This window comes from Homo sapiens, chromosome 11 (assembly GCF_000001405.40).
Source record: "Homo sapiens chromosome 11, GRCh38.p14 Primary Assembly".
NCBI classification, from domain to species: domain Eukaryota; kingdom Metazoa; phylum Chordata; class Mammalia; order Primates; family Hominidae; genus Homo; species Homo sapiens.
This window is the reverse complement of record NC_000011.10, coordinates 133,503,293-133,515,298: the sequence shown is the minus strand read 5'-3', so window position 1 is coordinate 133,515,298 and position 12,006 is coordinate 133,503,293. Positions and strand designations below refer to the sequence as shown.

The 12,006-nt window shown below is 46.0% G+C and overlaps 1 protein-coding gene across 3 annotated transcripts in view, besides 3 other annotated features; it reads left to right on the top strand.

Moving 5' to 3' along the window:
- The window catches only part of OPCML (opioid binding protein/cell adhesion molecule like), a 1,117,521-nt gene that overhangs the window by 17,203 nt on the left and 1,088,312 nt on the right, over window positions 1-12,006 (top strand). The window lies entirely within an intron of this gene.
- Window positions 4,295-5,194: an enhancer, noted in NCBI's record as "OCT4-NANOG hESC enhancer chr11:133380000-133380899 (GRCh37/hg19 assembly coordinates)". NCBI's record gives its function as "activates a minimal SCP1, AML or CMV promoter by ChIP-STARR-seq in primed H9 embryonic stem cells {active_cell/tissue: H9 hESC(primed)}" and the evidence as "EXISTENCE:reporter gene assay evidence [ECO:0000049][PMID:30033119]".
- Window positions 6,124-6,623: an enhancer, noted in NCBI's record as "H3K4me1 hESC enhancer chr11:133378571-133379070 (GRCh37/hg19 assembly coordinates)". NCBI's record gives its function as "activates a minimal SCP1, AML or CMV promoter by ChIP-STARR-seq in naive H9 embryonic stem cells {active_cell/tissue: H9 hESC(naive)}" and the evidence as "EXISTENCE:reporter gene assay evidence [ECO:0000049][PMID:30033119]".
- Window positions 8,924-8,973: a silencer, noted in NCBI's record as "silent region_4087". NCBI's record gives its function as "represses an Ori minimal core promoter by ATAC-STARR-seq in GM12878 lymphoblastoid cells {active_cell/tissue: GM12878}" and the evidence as "EXISTENCE:reporter gene assay evidence [ECO:0000049][PMID:35858748]".

Sequence of the window (12,006 nt, the reverse complement as noted above, 5' to 3'; positions counted from 1 at the left end):
CTCTGTGATTTTAAATGGTCAGTGCAGTATCCTAGCAACCCCTCTAGCTGAAGAGAGTTGCCTTCCTCCCAGCTGGTGGAAGATGGCCTTCTCTTCTTGTATTACAGGACTGCACCTCTGACCTGCTCTGGTTCAAGTCTGTGAGGAGCTTCTGGTTCTCAGCTTATCTGTTTTCCTGGAAATTCAGTTTATCCAGAACCTGTGAATCAAGTCATCAAATTTTTCTTCTTTTCCAGATGCTCTTTAATGAATACTTTTTAGGGATGGCTAATAAGATGAACATATTTGATAGTAACACTATTGGGTATAATAGTAGGGTTGTTCTAGAGTGGTATATCTGGAATAAATTAGATATGAGAAGGCTTGCACCATAGCTGCATTATTAATTTAGCTGGACTGACTCTCTCAATGAGCATGTGATTTTTACCAGGCAAATGGTTCCAGCAACTTTCTTAGGGTAGACTTCAATATTTTAGTCTACTATCTTGAGGGTACACAGGAGTGAGAGTGACAGCTCAGACAAATTTCCTATAGACAAAAACATAAAGCTAAACTAAAAGGCAGTATTTAAAATCAGTGGGTTATAAATAACAGTGCAGACCTACGTACAGTTATGGCAATAGAGTTTTGAGATCAATTAAGAGTACTGAGCCAATTTGAAAAGAAAGGAGTCTCCTACCATAAAAAAGTGAGAATTGTCCTAAATATTTAAAAAAGGACTCTTGACTTTAGTCTTTAGGTTACTTCTAACCTAAAGGGGTCGTTGGCAGGACATTCAGAGTACCCTGTATCTCCCTGCAATGATTTAAGTAACGGCAGATGCCAAGCACTCCAGACGAGGAGGAAGGGAGCACACATGGGAAGCTGACATGGAGCTGGCAAACAGGAAATAAGAGTGTTTGGTTTTTCCCTCTCTCTTCAGTCCCTTTTGGGAGAGACTTAGGAGCTAAAGAATCAAGCCCACATTCCAGAGGTCAGTGTCTCCAAAGCTCCAAAACTAGGGAGCAGCCAACTCGCCTCCCTTGCACACAATCACTGCAGAAGGCATGTGTGAAGGTTATGTGACCAGTATCCCCTGTACTGGTTCCTCATTGCATCAAAGCCTCTCATGATCCCTACTGCAAACACTGACAATGCTGTAGCTCCAAGGTCTTGCAGATGCCAGGCGATGTGAACCATTGCCACAGTTTTGGGGTGTCTTTGTTTTCGTTTCGTGACCAGCCTTGAAGTGTCTCTTTATCTTGCATAATTTGCTCTCCAATTCTCTGTGGCAGACTTCTCCACAGCCCTAGAGGGGCTTGGTGTGTAGGGACTGACCCTTTGGGATACTGAATCATGATTTTTTTCCTGTATTCAACTGACCTTGCTGGCTCGATTTCTTTGCTGCTGTGTTCCTGACAACAACAATTTTAGATGCTAAACTCTTAATCTCTGTAATGCAGCTCATGAATTAAGATCTTTTCATGAACCATTATAAATGCCAAATTTAGTTTAGATAAAAGCTACTTCCTTGCAAAGCTCCATAGGCAACAACTAATTCTACAAGGTCATTATGCAACAGGTATCAGTTATGCACTCACTTTCTACCAGGCACTAGAGGCTCAGGATGGCGAGATGTCTAAGACAAGGCCACTCTCCTTGAGTGCTTCACTCAGGGAGACACAATTCTGTAAACACGTTAACAAAACACAATGTACTGCCTCTGCAGTCTTTTGCATAAACAATCCTATGGAAGCGCAAGGAAGGAAGAAACTAGCTCTGCCAGGTTTCATGAAGGAGGCTTCCCAGATGAGATGACATTTGAGTTGGGTTTTTAAAGGATGAGAATTGCATTAACCACATGCACTGATGTTTGGGGATTGGCTGGGAAACAGGAGACAGGGGGTAAAGCAGTGGAAGAAAGGAGTAATCCAAGCCAACCTCCAAATTGCAGTGTTGAGAAAAGTGGCAGTGCTCTGTGATCTAAGCAGTAACACTCTTGTCGTGCTGAAGATTTGGTTTGTGTCATTTAAATGTCAGAAAAATTACGAATGGGGCTGGTGAAATCTGAACTTTTAATAACCCCACACATTTCTCAATGTCCATGTTATAAATAGAGTCAAAGGTGTGAGAAACCATTTTTTTTTTAAATGTTTGGGGCTTCTCACATTATCAGAGGCATGGTGCATCTCTCTTCATATTCTTCTGTTGTGTTTACTCCCAGGGAGAATTGCTACCTCTAGGTTTATAAATTCCAGACAGCAGGTCCAATAAGAAGAAATTCAGCTTTATGCCTTGAAAGGTTTGTTTTAATTGTAGAGTGTGCTCAAATTTCAGGATAAAGGCATATTTAGTTGCTCATTGACTTCTTGAAAATGGGTTTACATGGTGTGATATTGTGATATAATAAGAAATATATATTGGTCTCTGCCCTGGTTCCTGGGACAAAGCTGCTAATATCCTTGTAGATAGGGATCCTAGGAGAATCTTCTGTTCTGATATTTGGTCTTTGGCTCTGGTTTCTGACATGGAACTCCTAAGACCTTCCTAATTTCCTGAGTGATAGGCTAGTCTGACAGAGATCCTAAATACCTCAGAATATCCTGGAGGATAGGAACACCTTTTTGTCCCAATGAGGCAACTCTTTGGTAGGCTCCTGGATGGACTCATGATGTGATCTTGTTGCCAGGGGAACCAAACATGTGATTGGAAGGTTGGGACTTCCAGTTGTTCCCCTGAGATTTGGGAATAGGGGAGAGGGACTGAAGGTTGAGCTAATCACCAGTGGCTAATAATGTAATCAGTCATGCCTATGTAAGAAAGCTTCCATTAAAAAGCCAAAGGACAGGATTCAGAGAGCTTCTGGATTGTTGAAGACATGGAGATGCCTGGAGGATGGTGCCGAGGCTGTACCTCTTCCCCATACCTTACTCCATTCATTCCTTCCATCTGGCTGTTCATCTGTAGCCTTTGTAACGTGTTTTATAACAAGTGGGTAAAATGTAAGCAAAGTGTTTCCCTGAGTTTTGTGAGCCGCTCTAGTAAATCAATCAAAGACTGGGTGGTAGGTGTGGGAATCTAGAACGCTAATCAAACACAGGTAAGTAGGTTTGGGACAAATCCTGATTTGTTGCTGGTTGGTCAGAAACACAGATCACAACCTGGAGCTTTCTAATGGCCTCTGAAGTGGAGTAGTCTTATGGAACCAAGCTCTTAACCTGCAGGATCTGATGCTCTTGGAACACCCAGCTGGTGTTCATCAGAAAATTGCTTAGTGTGCGAGGAACCCCCAACCCCACAACATCTGGTGTCAAAAGTGTGTTGAGTGACTCTGTGAGAGTAGGAAAAAGAGATTCTTTTGTCCCTATCTTTTCAGACATGGCCATTGCTCTTTAACTCATTCATTCAACAAATGAAGAGTAACTACCTGGCATGGGTCAAGCACTGTTCTAGGACTTTGGGGTGCAACAGCAAATAAAACAGACTAAGAGTTCTGCCCTTAGGAAGCTTACATACTAGTGGAGAAAATCTTATAATACACAACAAACATAGCATGTAGATAAATTTTATAGTATGTTAGAACAACTGAAGAAATATGGAAAAAAGCAAAAAAAAAAAGTACATCAGGCTATGGAGAATGGGATTATGGGGAAGAGAGTCGCAATTACAAACAGGCCAGTCTGGCCAGACCTCACTGAAGGAGGCCACACTTGGGCAGAGATGTGAAAGGGGTAAAGGAGTTTGGAAAGGGCATTCCAGGCAGAAGGACTGGCTGGTGCAAGACCTCAGGGCATGAGTGAATCTGCCTGGCTTATTCAAGCAACAGTCAAGAGGCAAGTGAGGCTCAAGCAGAGTAAGCAAGTGGGAAGAGAGTAGTAGATGTGGGCAGAGAGGTTTTTAAAGGATAAGGGAGCTTATTGGGGTACCCAGTTAGCCACGCGGTCCTGTGTAAGAAGTTCGGCTTTTATTCTGAGTTAGATGAGGAGCTCATTCAGATTTTTAGCAGAGGAGTAGCAGGACTCGCTTTGTTTAAAAGAACATTCTGGTTGCTAAAGCTTAGAGGCAGAGACCAGTTAGGAAGATACTGCCCCAGTCCAAGCAGATGAAGGTAGCTTGGAACAGGGAGATTGCAGAGGAAATGATAGTGGAAGATTATGGCTGTAGCTGAAGGCAGGGCCACCGGGATGGCAGAATCAGGTGAGAGAGAGTGGATTCACGGAGGACTCCAAATTCTTTGATCCGTACAATTGGAAGGATAAAGTTGACACCAATCGCAATGGAGTTCTATTGGTGGAACAGGGCTTTAGGGAGGGATCAGGAGTTTCCTTTGGATGTGTTGAACTTGAAATGGCTATGGGGCATGTTGAGTAGGCAGTTGGATTTGTAATGAGATTGGAGTGTGTGTGTGTGTGTGTGCGTGTGTGTGTGTGTGTATGTGGCTGGCATATCAATGACATGTAAAGCTGCAAAGCTGCATGTGATCACCAGAAGAGGAATGCAGAAAGGGAAGAGAAGAGAGTCCAACATGCAGCTCTGGGGAACTTCAACTAAAAGAGGTGAGGGAGATGATTACATGGAGGCATGACGAGTTCATCCATGGTAACGTGTAGGTCAGGTAGTAAATGGGTCAAGGTAACAACCTTGCTTGGCTTGCAGGCTTTATGTTGGCACAAAGGTCTTGACCACATGCTATCCTAAATCACTGCAGGACACAATTAAAGGAACAAAGGCAGTGCTATTAAAGTACAGATTCCATTTATATCAGTCCCTTAAGTATTTAGTGCTGGGGCATGAAGAAAAGCCCAAGAGAGGGGGAAGCTAATTCTATGCCCACAAACGATTTGCATCATAAGGAACCTTAAGACCATTTAAGACAAACAGCTTGAATCACAAATGAGAAGGCTTGGGGTGTGGAAGTAAACTGATTTAATCAGGCTCACACAGCAACTTGTGGCAGAATCAGGTACAGAAATGAGCTCTAATTACTTCTGGGCAGTGCACTTTCCCCTATACCCTCTTCCATCTTGCAGGAAGTTTACTCTGTAGCATACAAAAGAAATGGTATTCTGAAAATCTGATAGCAGCTCTTCTCAGCCTGTGATGGCGAGACTTGAATCAAGGGGCCTCCTGGGTGGTCCAGGGGCAGCCTGGGCACTGCTCATTGGCTGCTCAAACTTGTGTGTCAGGAAGTGCACTCCCTACCAGGGCCAGCTCAGAACAGGCTGGGTGACTGTAGAGACGCACACCTGCAGTGTTAGGAGTGTCAGATGGTAAGCAAGCCTGTAGCAGAACTCTCCACTTAAAGACTTCCCCACATGGCCTCACTACTTTTCCAGTAGTCAGAGCACCACCAAGGTTAGGGTAATGTGCCTGGTGAGGGGAGTGGATGTGGGCATGAGGTAGGACCCCCAAAGCCTTTAAGAAGAGACACCCCAGAGGTGGTGCCTCACAAAGGAAGAGTAATCAATGAGAACTCGTGGAGTAAATGGAGACTTACATAGAAAGGGTACTCAGTGAGTACTCATAGAGTAAATGAGTGATCCACCTAACAGAAACAGCTACCTAAGCAGGTTAGCTAGAGAGGAGAGAAGCCAATGCCTTCTAACAACCCGTATGACCTCGGGCAGCTTGGTTAACCTCTCTGGAACTTAGTGTTTCTGCCCAGAAATGAGATTGGAGCTCCCGACTTAGAACTGTGGGAGAAGGTTGATTGAGAGTTGTCATAGGAAGTGTGAGAGGATTTTCAAGACAATCTCAGAGTGAGTATGGAACAGCATTGCCACCACCGCCAAGTTGCAGAAGGGCTGAGCTTACTAGCAAAGACATGGAATAAACCCAAATGCCCATCAATGATAGAGTGGATAAAGAAAATGTGATACATATACCCCGTGGAATACTATGTAGCCACGAAGTGGAATGAGATCATGTCCTTTGCAGGAATATGGAAGAAGCTGGAAGCCATTATCCTCAGCAAACTAACACTGGAACAGAAAACCAAACACCACATGTTCTCACTTACAAGTGGAAGCTGAATAATGAGAACATATGGACACAGGGAGGCGAACATCACAGAATGGGGCCTGTCAGTGGGACGGGGGTTGAGGGAGAGCATCAGGATAAATAGCTAATGCATCCGGGCCTTAATACCTAGGTGATGGATTGATAGGTGCAGCAAACCACCATGATACACGTTTACCAATGTAACAAACCTGCACGTCCTGCACATGTATCCCAGAACATAAAATTTAAAAAGATTGCTGTGGAGATTAATACAGTGCTTCAGCACTGTGCCTGACACATAGGCACTCAATAAATGGTAGTAATTTAAATTTAAAAAAAAAAACGAACTTATATATATCAAAAAAAGAGAAAGGGTTGAGCATAAGTTAGGAGTGGCACGTTGGGAAGCACAGGCCCTGTCGCTCTGTCCCGTCCTCTTGTCTGGAAGGTGCTGGGGCAAGCCGAGCAAGAGGTGAGGCACAGCAAGTGTTCATTCTTGACTCGAGTCGTTTTCAGCGCTTTCCTTGCTGTTTGGTGCGCACCCAGCTGCATCCGGCGTGGAGGGACAAGGCTGCTGACACAGGCAGATGTGATCTGTGGTGTAAAGTCACGGGGCAGAAGACGTTTGGCAGATCCTTTCACAATTACTTGCATTCTTCCCACTCCTCCAAGTGATTGGGAGGCTCGGGCCAGTTCCTTATGAGGCCAGAGGGAGCATTGCCTGCGGCAGCCCAGATGATTCCTGTGGGCTGGACTTGCAGTGTGGAGGCAGGTCAGCCAGGGCCATGGCTGCTGAGCTTGCAGAGGTCCCTCTTCAAGGGCATGGGGCCCTCACTAAAACTGCCTAACTTGCTCCATTTGGGAAACTGAGGGCAGAAACCACCCTGGATCATTACATAGAAAGTGCAAATAAAGGCTCAGAGAAAGAAGACATTGACATCCAGTGGTTCTTGTCCTTAGTCTTTTCACTCAAAATGTGGTTCCTAGACCAGCAGTATGGAAATGAAGAATCCTGGGCTGCACCCAGGCCTATAACCTTCCTCTGATTTGTACCCAAACCCAGCCCAAGCACATTTTCTTCCAAGTAGCCTTTCCTGGCCACTGTACACAGTAAAAACTCTTTCTCTGCTACCTCCCAGAGCAATGGCTCTCAACCTGGGCTGCATATCAGGACAACCTGGGGAAGCTTACAAACAACCACGACACTCAGGCCCTGCTTCCCTGAATTCTGATGTAGTTGATCCGGGTAGGAAATCAGATATTAATATTTTTGAAAAGCTTCCCTGGTAATCCTAATATCTAGTGTTGGGGAAAACGATCTTACAGCTTGCATTATTGGCTCTGAGTCATTTGAGATTTTTTTTTTTTTTTTTGAGACATACTTTCACTCTGTCACCCAGTCTGGAGTGCAGTGGTGTGATCTCAGCTCACTGCAACCTCTGCCTCCCGGGTTAAAGTGATTCTTCTGCCTCAGCCTCCCAAGTAGCTGGGATTACAGGGGCCCGTCACCACGCCTGGCTAACTTTTGTAATTTTGTAGTAGATATGGGGTTTCACCATGTTGGCCAGGCTGGTATTGCACTCCTGACCTCAGGTGGTCCGCCCGCCTCGGCCTCCCAAAGTGCTGGGATTACAAGCGTGAGCCACTGTGCCCAGCCTGAGATTTTAAGGATTTATTCTCTCAGTGGCCACTTCTACAACTGTCTTTACATTGTTGTCGCCATAATCAGAAAGTTAACTTGAGGACAGGAATCATCTCTAGTTCCCAGAGTCAGTGCTTACGACCTGGTGAGAGGAGCCCTAGGAATCAGCTCCCCTCAACTCTGTTCTTGCAAGCATCACTGGCTGTGTGGCCACTGGACTTTCTCAGCCCCAATTTCCTCTCTACAAAAGAAGACTGCAGTAGATGACCCCCTGAGGTGCTGCCTGCGCTGATGTTTCATAGTTCGAATGAGCACTTTGAAAATGGGGATTGATTGCAGCCAGCCCACTGCCTTGGAGCCTGGGGCTGCACCCATTTCAGCACTGTGTCCCATCCTCCTGCTCCACAGAGGGAGGTGCTGAGCTGGAGTTCTCCCCTTTGAAGCTGTGTCTTCTCAGTCCAGTATCAGGCTTTGCTGGGGCCCTCTTCACGAAGACTTAGCCCAGTCCACAGGGTCTCTTGGTCCTCAGGCCCTCAGGCTGGGCTAGCGGGCAGTGGATAACGGTCTTCTCTGTTTTGATCCTCATTTATGGAGCAAGGGAGAAATAGACACACTTTAAAATCAGCAGTCACAGGATGAAAATGGGAAGTGGGGGAAAGACCCACATGCAGGGATAAAAAATATATCAGAGCAGTCAGATGCCTGTTGGGTTTGGAAGAAAGAAAGTGGATGAGTGGGGGCACTGTGGGAACCACAGATTCAAATGGAAAACTGTGGTCTAGTGCAGAGGCAGGCAGCCATCCCGAACCTGCACAGGGCCAGCTTTGAAGGCGTGCACCGAGTGCGTTCTCCTGCCTTCTGCCCCAGGACAGCACATGGGCAGTGGCGTATGCTGATTAAACAGTAACCATTCTGTCTGGGGTACCAGGGTAACACTTTTCTGCTTATGTGGCTAGGACAATACCATGCACTGTTTCCTGCAGCCACTGCTTCCACTGATTTTATCAGGGATGATTAGAGCCACCTCATTGTTTCTTCTGCCGGCCAGTGTTCCCACACTGTTCTCCCAGGATCCTTGTCTCAGGCTTATTTGAAATAATAATAAAATAGTGTTGCTAATCCATTCACAGATTTCCTGAGGGATCACAACGCCAGAGCAGGTAGAGGAGCAGAGGCAAAGATGGAGAGACCATCTCCTGCCACATATTGTGCTGGAAGCTTTTGGGGATTAGTGAGCTCATGTCAGCAAAGCCCTCTGAGCCCCCGCGCTCATTACCCCTGAGCATTTTGGAGGTGCTTTTTATGTGCCAAGCCATTTGCAGGCACTAGGGAAGTAACCCTCTCAGGGCTCTGGGGAGTTCTTTGTTCTACTCTTTAAAATGCAGAAAAAGTAATTCAAGAATTTTGACTGAATGTAGGGTTAAGGCCTGTGGCTTTCAGTTCCTCTTTACTGTGGGACCTGGGACAAGACACTTTCTTTCCAGGGGCCTCCATTATTTTAAACGTTGGGAAGGAATGAAAATACCTACCTTTGTCACACTACAGAATGTGTGGGTCCAGGTGCTACTGATGGAGAGGGACATTTAGAAAATAGGAAGAAATATCTTGCTAATGTAAGACATTATTATTCTAACATTGTGCTTCCAGCTGGGTTGGTTGATACTTATTAGAGAGGCTTATTTTGTGCATGGTGAAAACCACAATCCTTAATCTCAAGGGGAAGAAAATGGTGCGAACTTCTAACCAATAGGTCCTAGTCCTCAGCTCATTTGGAAAAGAAACCTATGACTGATGAGGAAGGTCGGCCGGGAGTGTGGAAACAGAACTTGCATATTCAGTCATTACTCCTAGCAGGGAAGGCTTCATGTGGCCTTCATGGAGGCAGAGAGGAAGGAAGCGGTGATAGTTATAATTCATGTCCTCTTTCTAAGGAGGCAAGAGAAAAACTTTGTTCTCTTCCTTTTGGGAGGCATCAGTTCACCTCATTGCTTATTTATGGTTAACGATTATAAGACAGGGGCACTGGAGGCCAATGTCTATGGGTGACAAAGAGAAACTGAGTAGATGGAAAATGTGAGGCTGAGACCAGGTTTCTGGGATGAAGTCTGAGGTGTCAGTGGAAGATGGTGTGGGGGAGAGAAACAGTGAAGGGTCAGGAGGAGTGAAGCAGAGAAGAGGAAGCAGATTGAGGGAGGAGGAAGACAGGTGCATTTGGTGGTAGGAGGTTCCCGAGCAGGTGCTGAGCTTCAGCCAGACTCAGCCGTCAGAACAGCCTGGGTTCTGTGTTCCCCCTGGGCTTTCTCCCCATGGAGAGTCTGCCTGGTAGCCAGGCTCACCTTTTGAAGAAAACCAGGAGCTGGCCCTGTGAGGTCCCCTTGTCCCTGCCCAGGAGGCCTCCGGCCCCCTTCTCTCCAGTGCCAGCTCCAAGACAGTATCCATCTCAAAAGGCCAGGTCTTAATCCCTTCCCAATAAGCACTGAAACTATTAACAGATACTTGAAAAAGATGGTGTTACGTTCCTATTTTCCTAGAGAGGGAATTCCGGGGTTTGATGAGGTCGAGGGTCCTTCCCTAAGGTCATGTGGTGTGAGGCACCCGGAGAGCCTGCGATCGCCTCAGTGCTGACCTCTGCATGGCCCGAAAGCCTGCTGCTCAGCCCCTGTGCCTGCTACATTCATCTTCCCTGTCCCCTTAGGGGGTGTCTCAACCTTTCTTAGTCTGTCACATGTAAAGTCCCTGTTGGCCATTTTTGCTTCTGTATTTTAATGGTTTGGACTAATTCCCACTTTATTTTTGTATTTATTTTAACACAATCACTTATAATGAGGCTAATGACATTTTGTCTCCATGGTGGCGCATTTTAATTTGGTCTTGAAAATGTCAAAGCGATCAGGCAATTTGGTATCTCAGAAACACAAAACCTAGCAGGGACAATGGTTCCTCTCTTCGTCATTTCATCTCCCTTGTTATCTGCTAGCTCCTGGGGCCACCCAGTCCCATTTGACGGCTTCTCAATGCTGGCATGGATGAAGATCAGCAGAAAAACATCGCCGCAACAAAGCTGGGGGCTCCCGTGGCTGGCTCTGTCCAGTAGGTGCGGTTGGCACAATTAATCAGATCTCAGCACTCACAAAAGTCTGTTATGGAAGCGGGGCAGTCTTTTACTGATGGCATTTCTGTATCCATCTCTGTCCTTCCATCATGCCAGGGGCTTCCTCTGCTCCTGTCTGCAGTCTTCTTTCTCTGGCTTTCTAATTCTTTCCTTGAAGACAGGGTCAGCAAATGTATTTTGTGAAGGGTCAGACAGAAACTATTTTAGACTTTGTGAACCTCATCCAGTCTCTATCTCAAATTCTTCTTCTTTTCAAAACTCTTAAAAATGCAAAAAGTATTTCTTAGCTTGCAAACCATATGAGATGTCAGGCAACCTTGGATTTGGGGGTTCTCCGTGAAAGTGTTTTAGGGGATTTGGATTGAGGAGCTTAATCTAGTTTCTTTTCAGGACAGGTCTGCCTTGCATTACAGAGCCCCAGATAGTGACTTCCCTGAGGTTAGGTGGCAGATGAGTTCTCTGATGGTGGAGGATACAGCAAGTCTCCGCAGAGTGCTGATTTTGATTTCCTTTGAGAATGTGGGACCTGGGGCTAGTAGAGTCTTCCTCAGGAAGCCCGTCTTGGCCCGTGCTTGTCTGAATCTGGAGCTCTCTTGTCCTTGTCTTGCCTTTCCTCCTCCTCCCGCCTTCCCTGCCCACACTTCTGGCTGTCCATCTCCTCTGCACCCTGCTTAGTCCTCGGGAGGAAGAGGATGGATTGACTCTGCAGATGGGGCCAGGTCTGCTTTCCCAGCTCTGAGAGCAGTCATGTTTGTCTTTTCTTCAGTGCCCAGGCTTTGAAGAGGCTCATCTTTGAGATAGAAGTCAGAGTGGCGAAAGGGAGGGATTCTTGGTGTGGTAAAATCTTTAGGTCAAACTGGGAAAGCTCCCAGCCTGACCCGGATAGATCCCATGTCCCAGGAATTGCCTCGTGCAGGCTTCTCTTTAGAAACCACTTTATCAAACTTGTTGCCAGCTTTTCCATGTAGTAAGAATACTTTATCTCTATAAAGCAGCAATAAGTGGACAGTATCATATATTTCACTTTTAATAAGGTGTTGCCAGTTGCACACACTCTGTAGAGCAATTAGTGTCAAAAGCTGCTAAGCAATGGAGGAGCTGCGTTTGGCTGTTTACAGACTAGCAGGATTTACAGCTGGGCTTGGAGGAGCTGTGGCCACAACACAGAGGGTGAGGGAGGGGTTGTTGACCAGCTGAGTTTAAACTCCGCTGACCCTGCATGTTTCTAAATCTTCTCAAAGGCAGCCTTTGCCTTGTATTATGATGCTGGGTT